The sequence below is a fragment of the Homo sapiens genome, chromosome 5, assembly GCF_000001405.40.
Source record: "Homo sapiens chromosome 5, GRCh38.p14 Primary Assembly".
Lineage (NCBI taxonomy): Eukaryota > Metazoa > Chordata > Mammalia > Primates > Hominidae > Homo > Homo sapiens.
In genome coordinates, this window is record NC_000005.10 from 147,232,631 (window position 1) to 147,251,691 (window position 19,061).

Below are 19,061 nucleotides of genomic sequence, written 5' to 3' on the forward strand. Positions count from 1 at the left end.
AGGGGGGGTGAGGATGATATTACTCGCAGTAACGCAGAGGATGTACACCACCTCTGTGATATTGTTCTCAATATCCATGGGGATAGAACATTATATTACTCCCAGTATCGCAGGTGGTGTACATCCATGCCCCATGATATTTTTTCTGATACCCAGGTGAGGGGAGGATGATGTTACTCCCAATATCGCAAGTGGTGTACAAACATTCTTTGATATTTTTCCTGCTCTTTACGGGTTGAGAGGATGGTATTACTCCCAGTATCGAAGAAAGTGTACACGCCCCCTGTGATACTGTTCCTTATATCTAAGTTAAAAAAGAATGATATTACCTTCAGTATCGCAGGGGGTGGGGTGTACACTCCGCCTGTGATATTATTTCTAATATCAAGGGGAAGAGAGAATAATGTTACTCCCAACAGCGCAAGGGATGTACACAAATGGTGATATTGTTCCTAATATCCAGGGAAGGAGATGATGATATTACTGGCCATATCGCAGGAAGTGTACACCCTTCTGTAATATTGTTTCTAACATTCAGTGGGGGAGAGAATAAAATTGATCCCAATATCGCAGAAGGTGTACAGACCCCTTTGATAGAGTTTTTAATGTACAGGGAAAAATAATAATATTATGCCCAATGTCGCAGGGGTTGTAACCCCCCCGCCCCCCACTGTATATTCTTCCTAATAGGCAGCATAGTAGAGGTTTATATTACTACCAATATCGCAGAAGGTGCACACACACCTGTGATATACTTCCTAATATCCAGCGGGAAAGAGGCTGCTATTACTTTCAATATCGCAGTGGGTGTACATCCCCCCTGTGGTTTTGCTCCTAATATCCAGGGGGGAAGAGATGATATTACTGACAATATCACAGGGGGTGTACACCTCTTCTGTGATATGGTTCCTGATATAAAGGGGGAAAGTGGATGATATTACTCTTAATAACGTAGGAAGTGTACACCCACCCTGTGATTTTGTCCCTAATAACCTCATGGGGAGAGGTGATATTACTCCCAATATTGCAAGGGGTGGACACCCCACAAGTCATATTGTTTCTTAAATCCAGGAAGGGAAAAGATGGTATTACTACCAATATTCAAAGGATGTACAGAACGCATTTCTTATTGTTCTTAATATCCAGGTCGAAAGGAGATAACATTACTTTTAATATAATAAGGGTGGTACACCCTGCCTGTGATATGATTCCTAAAATCTAGAAGAAGAGAGAATGATATTACTTCCAATAATACACTGGGTGTGCAACCCCCTTTGATATTGTTCCTAATATCTAAAGAAAGAGATGATGATATTACTCCCAATACTGTAGAAGGTATACACCGTCCTGTGATATTGTTCCTAATAACTAGTGGGTGAGGGCATGATATTATTTCAAATATCGCAGTGGCTTTACACCCCTTCCGTGATATTTCTCCTAATTTCCAGGGGGTGGAGTACGAAGTTACTCCCAATATAGTAGTGGGTGTACACCCACGCTGTCACATTTCTACGAATATTCAGGGAAACACAGCACGATAGAACTCCAAGTCTCGCAAAGAGTGTACACCATTTTGTGATATTGTTCCTAATAACCGGAGGTGGATAGGATGCTGTTAGTTTCAATATCGCAGGCTGTGTACACACACACTGTGAAATTGTTTCTAATGTCCAAGAGGGGAGAGAATGCTATTAATTCCCATATAGCAAGAGGGTGAGGCACACCCCGCCATATGGGGAGTAATAGGACCCCCCCTCCCTCCCTGGCTACTACGAGCCACATCGCTGGGGTGTGAGGCACCCTCCTGCCATATGGGGATTAATAGCGTCCCCCTTTCCCCCCCGACTATTACGATCCACATCGCAGGGGAGTGAGGCTTCCCCCGCGATATGAGGAGTAATAGCACCGCCCTCTCCCCCTCAACCCCCCGGCTTTTAGGATCCACATCGCAGGGGGGTGAGGCACCCCCGGCGATATGGAGAGTAATAGCACCCCCCTTCTCCCCCCCCCCCCCCCCCGGCTATTACGATCCACATCGCAGGGGGGGTGAGGCAGTTCCCGTGATATGGGGCGTAATAGTACCCGCTGTGCGTCCTGGTGGCTCCGGACCCGGCCCAAGCGCGGCGGGACCTCCATCCGTAGCCCTCTCCCCCAACGTCGCCCTCCCGGGGTCCTTGTCTAGTCTCAGCAGGCGGCAAACGGACCCCAGGCGTCTGGCGCTCACCCAGGAGACTGCCCAGCGGTTTCTGGAGAGAGCGCTAAGCGGAGACGCCCGCTGGCAAGCAGATCCCGCCTCCTTCCCTGGCCAAGGAGCCGCCCCTCCGGGGTAGCTGTGCGCTGGGCGGCGCTCGGACCCCTTGGCAGCCGCAGGTGCCTCCCCAGCCCAGCCCAGCTCAGTCCAGCGCAGCCCAGCCCAGCCCAGCCCGGCGCTCGCAGCCTCCGCCGCTTCCGGGCAGATAGGTGCCTTTTCTTGCTCCTTGCTCTTGGAGTTCTTCTCTTAGTCCCTGTTCCCTGGATGAAAGCATCGCTCCGAGCCTCATGGGAGGAATGAAGGAAGAATCGAGACTAGGTGAGTGGTGGTCTAGATTTAACGAATAATAACAATAAACCTGCATACTAAGGGTACTGTTGGGAAGCTAGGAAGTGCAAGGAGAAGAGAAGACAAAGGCTGCTGATCAAGATAACTCACAAAACTAAATGCAGGCTAGGGCCAATTCCAGCTATTTTGCACTCCATCCAGGTTCCCCTGCCTGGCACTGACTCATGTGCAGACCCAGACAGACTTCAATAAATATTTGCTGGGTTGAGACAAGTGAGTGGAGGTGTTTCTGCTTGTTCTCCAGCATCTAAACAAGCAAAACCTAGCTGCCTTTGATGATTGCTTCATCTCCACAAGGACTTTTTCCCCCAGGACTTAAAAAATAAAATGTGGTGTATTCACACAACGGACTGCTATGCAGCACTTAAAAAGCTAAAATCAGAGCTGTAGGGATCAGCATGCCTGTACCTAGATTTCAGAAGTATGATGGCAGATAGACACAGCAAGATGCAAAATATATCCACTCTCTCATGCCATTTAGGTGACTTATTTTAAGACACTTGTCATGTTTGTAAAATCATAGAAGGGGGACTGTAAAATGTTTATCACATCCGTGATTGTGGCTGTCTTTGGAAAGTGTGAAAGGGAAATCAATTGGACTTTAGGATTAAGGTGGAAATAATATTTCCCTAAAATGCTTTAAAAATAAAAATGATGATATAAAGATGACCAAATATAAACAATTGTTAACTGAGAGTGTTATTAACTTGGGCATTTTTCATGTTTTTGCCCCCTATTTTTAAAATATTTCTTAAACTAAGAAGTTCTGTTTTTCAAATGCAAACAAAATAAGTTGTGTCTATGCACATTCTGTGACAATGAAACCTAAAATGTTTAATCAAAAGTTGCAACTTTCTTGCATCACCTCCTATGTTTTCCAATCCTAGAAGACCACACCTCTTTATCTAGGGAGGCTTGGTGGTTAGAGAAGCTTACCTGTTGACAACCCCCAAATTACAGGCCAAAGATGAAAGGTTGGTATTAGGGAACTATTTCCCAGTTAATAATCTGATAATCGGCCAGGTCAGGGTAGACTCTGAAAACTCCCTGTGTCCCTGCAAGACAAATTTCTCCTCCTTTTACATTTCATATGCTTTGGATTTTCATTTTCATGGATGGTAGCTGTCCTCTTCACATCTCAAAATGATGCTTAGGTAACACTGCAGACCTAGTGCCTGGAGATCAGGAAGGGCTGGGGGGTTGGTAAAAGAGAGTCCTACAGCTCTACTGGGCTCTTCAGCAGAATGGAAAGGACATGTCTCCATTTTCCTGCGAGAGAAAGGTAGATTTCTTTCTGAATATGAAAAAAAAAATCTAATTTGGTTATCCACATGGGAGAGAAAATGAAAAATAATTTTAAACTGGATTGTGTATGTTAGGTGCAATGAAGAAGATACTAAACGACCACCCAGTGGTTCCATCTGCTTCCCCCTTCCACAGACACACACAAAAATGGTTCCCTGTTTGCATATTATCTTCCCACTAAAAATCACTTGGTCCGTGGTGAACAAAATTGTGTGCACATCAGAATGAAATTCTGAAACATGGAAAATTGCGATAATATTCCTTCCTCTTTCTCTTTCTGATTCGACAACTTGCAAGGTCAGTGCTTGGTATATCTTATGTTGCAGGATGACAGGCTACTTGAGAAAAACCTGAGGTGTGAAGAAAGATATAAGAATGACAGGACTGGGGTGCATTGTGAAAACTACATGTACTCAGGTTTTAAGCACAAAATAAAAGACAATGTAGCCTCTGCCTGCAGTTAACAACTGCAAATCCTTAAAATTAATGTTCTCCCGGCCAGGCACGGTGGCTCAAGCCTGTAATCCCAGCACTTTGGGAGGCCGAGGTGGGTGCATCACAAGGTCAGGAGATCGAGACCATCCTGGCTAACATGGTGAAACCCCATCTCTACTAAAAATACAAAAAAATTAGCCGGGCATGGTGGCGGGTGCCTGTAGTCTCAGCTACTTGGGAGGCTGAGGCAGGAGAATGGCGTGAACCCAGGAGGCAGAGCTTGCAGTGAGCCGAGATGGTGCCACTGCACTCCAGCCTGGGCAACAGAGCAAGACTCCATCTCAAAAAAAAAAAATTAATGTTCTCTTTAGGACCATTCATCTCTTTCTAGTGCCATCAGTGGTTCAGTCCTTACACTATCCCTCATTTGGATTTTAAATGCAATAATAAAGCACAAAGACCACCCCATTTGCTTCTCCCTAACTCACAATAAAACACTCACAATAAAAAGTGCATCCCACTTACTTCTTAACTCCCTTGTCTGCTGGAGTTAAACTCTTTTTGATTTTTTATCCTGGAGAAATGGTTGAGTTCTATCTTCCTGGGTCTCAATAATTCCACTGAGCTTCCATCAGCCACCTGTGACCACCTACCCCTACTCACTCCCTCTCTCATACCATTTAATTGGTTGCTTCCTAATTAATGACTCTCTTTGCTCTCTATTTAATGATTCTTGCTAAAGTCCATAAGGCACTTTGCCAGCAGTTGGTTTTTAGTATGAAAAGTAGCATTTCCTTAATGAGTCTGAGTCTGCCTTCCAAATGAAGGGTTTACTTACATTTTCCTAATGGGAAAACGAGCTTTTCTTCTACACTTCCTTAGGGGTTTCATAAGTTCTTTTTCAATAACTCATCCTTAACACTTTCTCCAATTCTGCCTGTAATCAATATTCCCTTCACATGTAAAGAGCTCAGGAGGAAATCAACTATTTTTTTAAAAATACGCAATAAGGAAATTCTGCTACTCTTAGAAATAGCAGGAGCTAACATTCATTCTTTGCATATCATGTGCTAGGCATTGTGCCAATTACCTTATATACATTGTCTCATTATATGTATCCATGACCATATATGTGCTAAGCATGAAATTTTCTTAAGCCAGATAGCTGAGTAGAATTTTAAAATATTATTTTGTACAAAATCTAGACCTTTACCCCATTTGGGGGATAGATCTGAAGATCTGGGCTCATGTTTCCATGTGGTGACAATCTGTTTGATCTGAGCACAATTACTTTATTTGGATGGAGCCATTGCCACCATTGTCTGCCCAATGCACTAATGTTAAATGCCCAGTCTGGCTCACTCATTTGCATCATCTGCCTGGCTCCTATAGGGATCCCAGCTTGTCACTCCTGAGGTAGACACTGTCATTTCCCCCATTCTAGAGGTGAGAGGTTACATAACTGGGCCAAAGGCATTATCAGTGTCAGTTTTAGGACTGGAACACAGGATGCTGCCTCTCTTTACCATTATGTTTTAAAGTGGAGCAAAGCCGTAGTTTTCAGGATCTTTTCTTGTTCACACATATCATTTAATTTGAGCCTCAGAGCGGCTAACAGTTTTGAGCACTTATGCTATGAAAATGTTTTGTGTATTCAGTTAAATGTATGCATATCATACATTTATGTAACTCAATACATATATATAAATGTGATATAACATACGTATGATATAACAGAGTTATATATATGTGTATTATTTAACTTAATATATAATGAGTTAAGTGTATGCATATCATAGATTTATGTAACTCAATATATAAAGAGTTATATAATACAACAGAGTTGATATATATATAAATGTTGTATATAAACATAATATATACGTTAATATATATTAACAAAGAGTTGTATAATACAACACAGAGTTAATAATATATAAATACAACACAAAGAGTTATATATGTGTGTATTATACATTTAACTTAATATATAATGAGTTAAATGTATGTCTGTCCCATTCAACTCTCCATTGAGGAAAGTACCATTATCTTCCCCAAGTTCAGAAGAAGAAAACAGAGAAATATATTGAAATTCAGCAATTTGCTGGTGTGGTCAAGTCCAACCCAGAACTTGCTTCTTTTACATTGTAGTACCCTCCAGGGTATGCAGAAACAGATAGCTAGTGCATCTTTATGACTAAAAAAGAAAATTTTTGTTGTTGATTACCCAGTAACAACAAGACAGTATAAAATCAGCATATTTTCTCAACAATATTTTCATTTTATAGTTGTTGAATAAAGTATTGCTGACTTCATTTTAAACTTTTCTACATACTTTGAAAAATATGTTGCTTTCCTCCCATTTTGTAAGTCTAGGTCTGCTATTGATGAGCCATGCAGTGTTTTCTCCTGTTGCTTGATGTTTTTATTCTGAAATCATGGTTGGTTTTCAAACACAAAAGTTTTCACTACAGTGATACAGATGAGGTTTATGTTTCCGCCACAGTCTATACTCAGGGTGCCTAGAGTATAGCATATTATTAGGGTACTATTTCTTTTCCTATCCTAGATATCCAACTAAGGCTTCGGGACATGTTTTGAGCGAAGATGGGTGTTTCTGCCCGGATAGTATAAATCGAGGATCCAGGTCTGGGCAGATTCAACCATGGGAGCGAACACTTCAAGAAAACCACCAGTGTTTGATGAAAATGAAGATGGTAAGAAATATGGGATAGTGGCATATAAAAAATAGAATTTTGCAAAATTCAAGTATATGCTTCTAGTTTCATAAGTTAAGCATAAGCATGGTCTGTAGGGCCTTGAAGGAAAAAGGCAAAGCTGCATGAGTGAGTCTGAGGACTTTGTAGGCTCATAGCTAGGTTTTACCTTCCACTTTCCATGGGACCTTTGGCAGCTTTCCTAATCTCCACTATACCAATGTCCTTTGTCCAAAGGGAGCTGCAGTTGGGCATGTGGTGGATAGTTAAATGATTTGTTTGTCCTCTGTGCTGTTCCTTGGCAGTTGAAGTTACCCCCATTGCTCATTGTTACAGAAAATACATTATCAACATGTACATGAATGATAACCAGTGCTCATAATATTATAGAATGAAGCTGTGCCTTCTGAATTTCCAACTGCCAAGCTTTTGTGTACTAGACAAATCCCATAATGCTACGTCATAGAAAAAAGAATCAGTTGTATTGGAGAAAAGGGAAACTTTCCAGGCCAGACTCAGCAAGACAAGAATAAAGGCATGAGTCCTCCTGATTCTCCCATCAGTGAGGCATGCTGGAACTGGGCAATGCCTCCTCATGTCCCTCTTCCTTCCTATATGTTAAGTCTGAACAGCATTGGCGTATGCAGGTGGCAGCTGTTTATAGGTTGTCTGGGGGAAAAAAATGCCCCAAGCCCCAGGTAGTAAGTTGTCCAGACCTCTGAGAGGGAGCTCTTCCGAGTAATTCCCAGAGAGCTCTGCTAATTGGAACAGGGAGGAAAAGAATGGACTGAAATTCAGGAAATCTGACACCAGTCCTACTACCAGTTACTTGCTAGGCCCAAGCAGCTTATTTACTGACTCTATCTTCAATTTTGTTATCAATAAAGTGAGGAGATAGGTTCCTTCCCACTCAAGAAGTTTATCATTTTGAGATCCTAAAGCAACTTTGTGAATTCTGAAGAAGCTTCTAAATCATCAAGGAAAGTTTATTGGGTTAGAATGCAAGTTTGATTGCTGAAATGAAAACTACAAATAACAGTGGCTTAAGCCAAATGGAAATGTTTATCTTTCTCATGTGACAATCTAGGCATAAGTAATCCAGGTGATGTGTGGTTCCAGCAGCTTAGGGACTCTGACGCCAACTACTTGCCTTTTTCCCTCTCTTCCCATTTCTAGAGTGGTACCCTCAGAGTGGCTAACCAACACAACAAATTCCAGCCAGTGAGAAAGGTGGAAAGTAGGAGAGGTTATGCCCACTTATTTATAGGATTTGCTCTGGCTTGTCACTTTCGTTCACTTCCACTTACCTAGATACAAGAAAGACTGGGAAATTCAGTTTGTTATCTTGGGTGGCCATGAACCTTCTAAAAATAAGGAGTTCTGTTTTATTACAAAAGAAAAGAAGAATTAGGAGTTTGTCATGATTGGGGACAACTACGTCTGCTGTAGTTGGGGCAAACAATCTTAGTTTTGAATCTTGGGATGGAAATACTTTTAAAAACAACATATGGGCCAGGCGCGGTGGCTCACGCCTGTAATCCCAGCACTTTGGGAGGCCGAGGCGGGCGGATCACGAGGTCAGGAGATCGAGACCATCCTGGCTAACACGGTGAAACCCCGTCTCTACTAAAAAATACAAAAAATTAGCCGGGCGTGGTGGTGGACGCCTGTAGTCCCAGCTACTCGGGAGGCTGAGGCAGGAGAATGGCGGGAACCCGGGAGGCGGAGCTTGCAGTGAGCCGAGAACCGGCCACTGCACTCCAGCCTGGGCGACAGAGCGAGACTCCATCTCAAAACAAACAAACAAACAAACAAACAAAAAAACCCAAAATATATGGCTGATCAGGACGCCTTGTTTCAAGCTATTCACTATCAGTTTGGAGGCCCATTCTTACTATTTCTACAGAATAGTTCATAGGAACTTTGAAATTATATAGCTGGAAAGGGGTCTTAAGAAAACTTTTTTTTCATGGCTATTGTGATTGCCTTGCTTTAACTTATCAAATAGTAAAAGCAAAGATCTAGAGACTAGTGATATTACTTAATTTTTCTGTCTCTAAAATGGAAAGACAAATAGGCTTGCTTTTCATTTAGTTGGTTTCCTCTGCTTCCTCTGGACTCAGAGCTAATGTTGTACATGAGGCTGGTCGTCAGAGAATAGGGTGGAAAAGAGAGGCCAGCTGCATACTTTTAACTTGCTGGGCTACATTTGAAGGTAGTAGAATAGCATTATGATGAGAAAACACAGAAATGCATAACTCTTCCTTGATTCAGCCAGGCTTTGTTCTTGCGGGATGCCCAAGAAAGCTACATAACCAAAGAATTGTGACAATTGGGAAATAAGATACCCCTTTTTAGTTACTTTAAAGGACTCTAGAAAAACTAGGTTGAAGGAGAGTTAGGCTTAGGGACCAGACAGGTCTTTCTTAACACCCTCTAGGTCACCACCTTTTCTGTTGTCTGGCTTCTCAGCCCAATGAGATGAACCCACTGCAGCACCCATAAAGGAAAGATCTGAGCATAGCAACAAGTCTGTGCCTCCCAAAGGTGCTAGGCTCTCTGTCTGTTTATGCAGACAGTTGCAAGGCAAAGGAAGTAGGAGGGCAAGTCCACCTACTATAAACCTGTCACTCTCTAGACATGAAGAATAGAGGAGGAAACAAGTTGGTCCTTGCTCTGTCATTGTGAACCCCATGTTCTGATGATGGAAGGCTGACAATAAAAAGGTAAATAATACATAAACCAGATAATTTCACAGTGCCTTAAAGTGCCACCAAGGAAATGACTCCTAGTGATCTTACAGACAGTGACAGTGATGGTGAGGAGGCCACTTTAGATAGGGTGGCTGCGGTTGTCTTTCTAAGGAGGTGACATTTGGGCTGAAGCCTGAAAGATGAGAAGAAGCCATCTATGAAATGACATGAAAAGAATAGTTCAAGAACAGGAAAAACAAGTCCAAAATCCAAATAATGACAAAATCAGGATTGAACAGTTGCCTATATCTTAACGTTCTCTCATGAGCACTAGTTTGCCAAAGAGACTGCATTTATTGCCATGTTAACTTATTTCTTCAAAAGATGATTGATTTGAGGAGAAAAAGTATGCCATTCTAGGGAATTTACTTTGCTTTAAAATTCAGTACATTTTGTAAAGTTCATTTGACTCTTCACATAAATCTGGATTGAGCACAAGGTAAAATTGTATCTGATTGCTGTGAAGCTCCTGACCAAGAAAAAGCAACCAAAAAGCACTGATTAACCAAACAACATTAATGCTTATGTCATTTTTGATATCCATATTTTTATATACATAATCATAATGTATAATCAAACTGGGCCAGTATCAAGGGCACTAAAATGAGCCAACTTAATTATTTAAAAAATATTGCTGAAAAGAATCCCAATATGTGATTTTTAAAAAGTTTTTTAAAATTTTTAAAAAGATTTTTTAAAAGATTTTTAAAAATATTTTCTTCAAACTGTTTAATATTTCCAATATATAGATATGAGAAAAACATTTAACCAATAATTTTCCCAAGTAATGTTTCAAGAATTCTCTCTTATGGAAAAAGTGTTTTTGTTCACTTTGAAGGTAATTAAGGAGCAAGATAAGAGGTTATTGGATGTCCCTTGAGATAAGCTATTCTTGCCAGAATTCATCCTGACACTTGTATTTCATGTTGTTCCATCTGATATCTGATCTTGAACACATAATTTTATTAGTTACTTATGTTGATCTTTATTCAGCAAAAACAAAGTAGGAGATTTTCAGGCTAGGCATGGTTGCTTACGCCTGTAATCCCAGCACTTCAGGAGGCCGAGGCGGGCAGATCACGAGGTCAAGAGATCGAAACCATCCTGGCCAACATGGTGAAACCCCATCTCTACTAAAAAATACAAAAAAAATTAGCTGGGCATGCCAGTGTGCGCCTGTAGTCCCAGCTATTCAGGAGGCTGAGGCAGGAGAATCTCTTGAACCTGGGAGGTGAAGTTTGCAGTGAGCTGAGATTGCTCCACTGCACTCCAGCCTGGCAACAGAGCAAGACTCTGTCCAAAAAAAAACGGCTTGCTTATTTGATTATATAAGATATCTTTCATAAATTAGATCTCAAATTATACTATTGTTTTGCAGTTTTAGCTTTTATGTTTTAGGGCAAATCTTAAGTCCTAATTACTTTTTTTTTATTATTGTGGTAAAATGTATATAACAAAATGTACCATTTAATCATTTTAGAATATACGGTTTATGACATTAAGCACATTCACGTTATCATACAACCATCACCACTACCCATCTTCAGAACATTTCTCTTCTCGAATTGAAACTTTGTACCTCTGAAACAATAACATCCACATTCCATCCCCTCCCCAGTCCCTGTTAACAACCATTTGACTTTATGTCTCTATGAATTTAACTACTCTATGTACCTCATATAAATGGAACATATAAGATTTGTTCTTTTGCATCTGGTTTATTTCATTTAGCATATATTTTTAAGGTTCATCCATGTTGCAGCATGTGTCAAGATTCTCTTTCTTTTTAAGTCTGAGTCGTATTCCATTGTATGGATATACCACATTTTGTTTATCTTTTCATTAGTTGACATTGATTGTCCTCACCTTTTGATTTTTGTGAATAAGGCTGCTATAAACATTGGTGTGCAAATGTCTGTTCAAGTCCCTGTTTTCAATTCTTTTGGGTATATACCTAGTAGTGGAAGCACTGGATCATATAATTCCTTGTTTGACTCTCTGAGGAACCATCATACTGTCTTCTACCTAATTATGCTTTGTGTTTTAGTAATGGGACACAGCCTGGCATGATGGGCTAGAGTATTGGAAAGGCATGCACAGGTTCAAGTCTCAGCTGTGCCACGTGCCAGTAATCTACATGTTTCTATGAGAAGAGTCAAAGAGGATATAGCCTGGTCAACCATTATCAGACACTGGAGTCAGTTTGACTAATTATATGGTGTTCTAAGGAAACTTGAGGTACCACAAGAAAAGTCTCCAAACCTAAATAATTACTAATGAATTAATTGAGGGGGAAACTTATTTAACCTTTGTAAGCCTCAGTTTCTTTGTATGTAAAATGCAGGTAATAATTGGGCATACTTCATTAGGTCTTTGTGAGGATTGAATAAATAATGCAAGTAAAACACTTAGCAAAGTATTTCCCATAAAGTAACCACTCAATTAATGCTAATTAAGTGTTATTTACTAACATCAGAGTTTCCTAGTGTGAACTCTTTGAAGTACTTTAAGTTCTGAGAAAAACAAAATTAATTAAATGCAACTCTGTCGATTCCACAGTTAATTAGACCTATTCATGTTTCTATTGACTGGATTAACAGAACGGCAGATTTTATGGATTCTGTTAAAACCTATATAAAAACACTTTAAAAGAAGCCAAGTTATTGACTGCACAAAAACATAATCTCATCTGATATCTTTTTTATCCCCCTGAGGTTATTGTATTTTTGTTTAAGGCAAAATCAAGAACTAATTGGGATGAAAATAACTAAAGTTTACTTTGTCTGATTTAAGTCCCAAACTGACTAATAAGTAATCCCATTTGATCAACAGATTCAGTGAAAACTGTCCCCCATTCTCAACTACCATATGGATATTCTGAGAAATAATTAATGATGCAGAAAACCATTTTTTGTTTTCTGAAATAAAAGAATAGACGTGCAAGTAACACTTCTTTTTAATGCTTACAACCTTTTTTAAAAAATCTACTTTATTTTCTCTATCTGAATGCACTAGATTTTGTTTGTTTGTTTTTGTGGTTGGTTGGTATGGTTTTGCTTATTGAGGTTTTCAGGCTGATTTAGAAAAAAGAAATTTTTACAGGAGAGAGTGGACTTGTTTACAATTCAGAGTTGAGGCAACAAAAAAAAATCTTGCAGTCATTATGAGTAATATGTGTATCCAAGTTTATACAAAGAATGTAAAGGTGATAAAGTTGGCTTAGTTAAATCAAGAGACAGCCTTCTTCTAGAATATTATAGCTAAGAAAATTTGGACTTAAGTTTAAAAAGCTGCTCTAAAGAGTTCATCAATGCCCTGAGTTTGCAGAGAGTTCAATTATTGCATTATTCTTTGGACTTGCTGAAAACTCAGTGTTCTACTTTTATTTGGCAACACCATCTCCTAGGATATGTGGCTGTTTCCAGTTTTCCAGCATCTTCAGTGACAGAGGCAATGGGATCCTTTAAAATGTTGGGCCAAGAAAATTGGCCACAGATTTGCAATCCAAAAGAAATAGGAGGTTGCTAAATTGATTCCAGCTATGAAGGACATCGAAAATTTCTTTTGTTATTTGACTGTCTATCATGGTCTATTTGCACTCAATTTAATAGGCAAATGAATTTCCGACTTTCCCTTAGCAGCCTTGAGTAATGCTGTCTCGTATTTATTATTTTGCATTAGAATGGTTGGAAAAGTTAAAGGAAAATTTCCCTAGCAAGAATTGGCTTCTTAAAAAAATAAGTCATCTTGGACAACCTAACATTTAGTAAAGGCATTTGTCATAAATAACCTCAAGTCCAATTTATGGCAAGGGTTTTAATTTGTAAGGGCTTTATTTCTCCATACAAAGGGATTGGAGAAACAAACTAGAAAGCCAGAAAACAGACCACAAACACTGAGCTAGTGGTTCCAACTGGAGTGTTCCCTGAGCAGTGACTTATGAATACTTGTTTAGAAGAATCAACTCAAACAAATTTAGGAAAGTCACATCCTGCCTTTAGAGCTTCCAGTGTTTGTTAGCATATTAAAGTCTCTGAAATGACCTACAATATTGAAATCTCAGTCTTCTGCTATTTTTAATATTTATTTCAAAATGAAATAATTTTTGTGAAAAACATTTTAATGTCTGTGGCTCATAATATTCTGTGGATCTCAGTTTGGGAAATGAAAGATTATAATCGTATCTACTCTTTATCTGTTGGAAACATCTTTCCATTTATTTTTCCTGCTGGTTTAATGGCAACAAATTTTTACATGTGAAATATTTGTAATGTGATTTATATGAAAAAATGTAATTTTCTTATTACACGATCAAAAGTGGTTATGCTCCTCTGTAAGTTTTTCCTTACAAGTTTTTATGTTGCATAATTTATATCTATTTGGTTTAATGAGTACAACACAAGATAGCTCAGTTTAATTCTGGGATGTTGGATGTTTCTAGTTAAAGTACAAGTTGGATTTGATGAAAATTCATTGCTTCTTTATGATTTTTTAAAACTCAAGAACATGTTAGTTAAAGAGTGTCTTCTGAACAAATTCTTGTGAAGTAGTTGCTGATTATTAAGTAACACTCATGCTACCGTAACTTTTTATACTATCCAAAGCTATAGACATTTTTAATTTTCAACTTGCAACTACCTAGGTTGAAAAATTAAATCTGCAAGCCAGTTTCATTATTCAGACAATTTGGTTATCACTTCAAGCCTACTATCTTCAAAGAAAATGGGAGTGCAGGCCTTCATGGGAGCTGACTTCTGCTGTATGGCCTTGCAAATGTCAACTCGATTAGAGTGACCAGTGTTAGCCCTCAATTCACAAACTCAGGTCCCATGAAATATACACGGATTTCTACTATGCATTACTATGTGACCATTCATGGAAGTTTCGTTTGGAAACACAGACATTAAAAAGCCAGTCATGGAATAACATTCTTGTTAAAACAGGACATTGGCAAAAAGGACTAGAAAACTTCTGGCTATAGATTTTGAATCCAATAGCCTTGCATAGGCTTTTCTGTTTCCTCCTAAACTATGTCTTCTGTCCTTTCTGGAGGCATATTTATAGTAAAATAAACAAAATTAACCTTGTTTTACACTTGAGTAACCTATACCTTTGGTTATTTACGAGAATTACTTAAAGCAGAGTTGGCAACTTTTTCTGTGATGGGCCTGATACTAAATATTTTACACTTTCCAAGTAATACAGTCTCTGTCACAACTACTCAACTCTGCCACTGTAGCATAAAAGCACACTTAGACAATGCAGAAACAAATGAACATGGCTTTGTTCCAATAAAACTTTATTTATGGACACTGAAATGTGAATTTCAAAAATATTTTTTGCATAAGATCAAATATTATTCTTTTGATTTTTTTCCAATCAATAAAAAGTGTAAAAATTGGCCGGGCATGGTGGCTCATGCCTGTAATCCCAGCACTTTGGGAGGCCGAGGTGGGCAGATCACCTGAGGTCACGAGTTCGAGACCAGCCTGACCAACATGGAGAAACCCTGTCTATATTAAAAATACAAAATTAGCTGGGTGTGGTGGGGCCTACCTGTAATCCCAGCTACTCGGGAGGCTGAGGCAGGAGAATTGCTTGAATGCAGGAGGCAGAGGTTGCGGTGAGCCCAGATTGCACCATTGCACTCCAGCCGGGGCAACAAGAGCAAAACTCCGTCTCAAAAAAAAAAAAAAAAAAAAGTGTAAAAACCATTCTTAGTTCATGAGCTATACAAAAATAGATAGTGAGTTAGATTTGGCCCATGGGGCTTATTTTGCTGACTCCTGCTCTAAGCATCTTGCAGACATTTCTTCATATGCCCTAGGAGATTTCTGATATCCCCTCATAATACCCTGGCCTTACACCAAGACTACAATCTGTTCTTTGCAGATGCTTAATAAATTCATTCTTCCCTGTCATTCAGTTGATCTGTGTGAGCCAGTGGAAATACTTGGGCCAATAAATCTAGTGTGTTTGAGGGTAAAATATGCTATTTTTGTAAGATATATTATTTAATGGCCACACAACCTAAATTCAATTAAATGGTTACAACCTGTAACGCATTTAAAATATGACTAGGCAGAATTTGCTTCCTACTAAAGACATTTATTCGATTGAGGAGCATCCAACAGTTGATGTTGATCCCCCCATCCTGCCCCACTGTTCTACTTTGCAATTTGTTTGAAAGAAATTGTCAATATATTTCTGACTTCTGAGCAAATCCATGAATCGGGATCCAGCAACAGGAAAAGAAGCTGTTGCTGCCCATTGCTTGGTTTTGGCACCAGGAATGGATAAATCCCAGACTTCCTGGGGCACGTGTTTTATAAAAGGGAAGTGCTGACAGTGCAAACAGCTGCCATCAATTGGCCTTGGAGACTACTTCCCTGGAGAAGCTCCAATTATATTCTTAAAGGACCCACCAAGCTCTTCAAGTGTTAGTGGCAACCATTTGCTGCCAACCATTTGAAATGATGAAGTAATTTTTTTTTATTAGTGGATCCTAAGTGATAGGCTCTAGAACTGATCTTCAACCTTAACTAATATCATGGCATCAGAGGGCTACAGATTAAATCAGTGGTTCCCAGTCACTCTCTGTGGACAAGTAGCAACTACGACAAAGCTTTTCTTAGTCTATGGTGGAAGAGAAAAATTAGGACAATGTAATAAGCATCCCATAAACTTATTAAACCTATTAAAATTTAATTTTAAGATTATGTCATTTTTTGTATGTGTGTATGCTTAGTATTTATGGATTGTGGAAATAGAATTTTTTTTTTATAGTGAGAACCTAGGTAAGTGACTTACCTCTCTGATCCCCCATTTTCTCATATGTAGAAGGGGGCTAATAATAGTATCTGTCTCATAGTTTTTGTGAGAATAAAAAAATTGTCCAGGTAAAATGCTTAGCTGGTGACTGGCACACAGTAATTGCTCAATAAATGTTAGCTATTATTGCTATCATTATATAATCATCATGGTTTCCAATGCCTTTACTTGGCAAATAAAAGAACAAAAGTCACCCGATATTGATCTCCCTTTTCTTCCCTAGTTTTCTGGGGGGTGGGAGGCAGAGACCGAATTTTCTGATCTGTGAAATCTGAATTTATCATTGTAATTTTCCATAAGTGCTATGTAGAGAACTCATTTAAGTTGCTGGGATGAAAAAAAATCAAAAGTGGCCTATTGTGCTGGGTGCAGTGGTTCACGCCTGCAATCCCAGCACTTTGGGAGGCCGAGGGGGGTGGATCGCCTGAGGTCAGGAGTTCAAGACCAGCCTGGCCAACATGGTGAAACCTTGACTCTACTAAAAATACAAAAATTAGCCTGGCATGGTGGTGGGCACCTGTAATCCCAGCTACTCAGGAGGCTGAGGCAGGAGAATCCCTTGAACCCAGGAGGTGGAGGATTCAGTGAGCCGAGATCTACTGCACTCCAGCCTGGGCAACAGAGTAAGCCTCTGTCTCAAAAAAAAAAAAAAAAAAAAAAAAGTGGCCTCATCTTCATTTCAGTGAAAGATGATAGTATCTGGACTCACAGTGTGGCAGTGCAGACGGAAAGCTGAGAGTTTATTCAACATTTATTTTCAATATAAAATAATTAGGTGTTACTGATGGCTTGAATGTGGGGTAAGATGGAAAGAACAAAATCAAGGATAAATCCTAGGTTTTTGCTTGAGTAGTTATGTGGATGACTGTGACATTTTACTAAGATGGAGATGCGTGGGAACGGAGGGGTTTGGGACCCTGCTCACATACAGTCTAGAGTTCACTTTTGGAGGCATACAGTGATTATGGGACAGCTAAATGATGGTGCCAAGTAGGAGCTGGAGTAGAGTATCCAGCAATGAGTGGAAACATCTGGGATGGAGACAGAAAGACACGGGTATTAATTCTACGGGGATGGCTAAGTCTGCTCTGAGAGACAGTGTGGAGACCAAGGAGAAGAGGAATCCTAATATTTAGAAACAAGGCAGTGGATAGCAATCTAGCTATGGAAAGTGGAAGGAAAGAGATAGTTGATCATCCAGTTCAACACTACTCTTGTTGTAGTTCACTTATGTTGAATGCTTCTGTGTGACTAAGTCGGTGAGAAAAATCTATGGGAGTAGGCAACATGGAGGATGTTGGTATTCACAAAAGCAGTTTAGTGGAGTGTGGAGGCCTGAGCCAGACTAGAATGAGTTAGGAGTAGATGGAAGATAAGAATGCAGATATGGGCCCAGTGCGGTGGCTCACGCCTGTAATCCCAGCACTTTGGGAGGCCGAGGTGAGCAGATCACAAGGTCAGGAGATCGAGACCATCCTGGCTAACACTGTGAAACCCCATCTCTACTAAAAATACAAAAAAATTAGCCGGGCCTGGTGGCGGGTGCCTGTAGTCCCAGCTACTCGGGAGGCTGAGGCAGGAGAATGGCGTGAACCCGGGAGGTGGAGCTGGCAGTGAGCCGAGATGGTGTCACTGCACTCCAGCCTGGGCAACAGAGCAAGACTCCATCTCAAAAAAAAAAAAAAAAAAAAGAATGCAGATATGGCAAGTATAGACAAGCTTCAAGAAGTTTGGTCTAAAAGGAAGCGGAGAAATAAACAAAGAGATGATGCCTAATATAATTCAGCTAAATGTAATATAATGGATTTTTTTAAGATGAGGTACTAGAGCATGTAATATAAATCTATTAAATTGGGTGGCCAGGAACCAGGACTGGCTCATCAGCATGGAGCAGGCTAGACGCACAGGGCCTTATATCCAGAAGGACATCACCTTTGGGTTTTAATGCTCTGCACTTGCTGTCTCCAAATTCTAACTGTCTCTTAGGCTCTCATCAACACCCACCTCCATATCCAGATATTGAGTACCTCAGGGAGTTCAATTTGGAAGCAAATGATGTGAAAATGTACTTTACTATCCAGTAACATTCTTGTTAGGGAGTGTTGGCAGAGATTGTCGAACAACCATAATGCATTTTATCATTCGATCAGTCTACAATTTAAACATAGCAGGACTGGACAGAGGCACAGGAAGATTAAGCCACTGACCTTAAGTCAGACAGTCACATGGGTAGATCCGGAATCTTGATCTAAAATGAATACCATTTTTTCAGTTATAGCTATCTTCCCAGGATGGCCAACCAGAATGCATATATAAAATTTCAAAAACAAACATTGGGAATTGCTCTTCAGCAAGAATACATCAAACACCCATTATGTGCCTAACTCTAAATCTTACTTTCAGAGAGCTAAAAACAATTTC

The 19,061-nt window shown here is 39.8% G+C and overlaps 1 protein-coding gene and 1 long non-coding RNA gene across 9 annotated transcripts in view; one reads left to right on the forward strand and one right to left on the reverse strand.

Annotated features, from left to right (window-relative positions):
- Positions 1–2,301, reverse strand: part of STK32A-AS1 (STK32A antisense RNA 1) — a 57,897-nt gene extending 55,596 nt beyond the window's left edge. The window contains exon 1 of one of the 2 annotated variants that reach the window (NR_147190.1): positions 2,083–2,229. This is a non-coding gene — a long non-coding RNA (STK32A antisense RNA 1). Of the gene's footprint in view, positions 1–2,082 lie in introns of both variants that reach the window. The other variant, NR_147191.1, reaches the window with a different exon arrangement.
- Positions 2,302–2,395: 94 nt separating this feature from the next.
- Positions 2,396–19,061, forward strand: part of STK32A (serine/threonine kinase 32A) — a 166,965-nt gene continuing 150,299 nt past the window's right edge. For all 7 annotated transcript variants that reach the window (XM_011537577.3, NM_001112724.2, NM_001287740.2 and 4 more), the window contains exons 1-2: positions 2,396–2,569; positions 6,909–7,056. In XM_011537577.3, the coding sequence (XP_011535879.1) occupies positions 7,005–7,056 (52 nt within the window). In that variant the 5' untranslated portion in view covers positions 2,396–2,569; positions 6,909–7,004. The remainder of the gene's footprint in view (positions 2,570–6,908; positions 7,057–19,061) is intronic.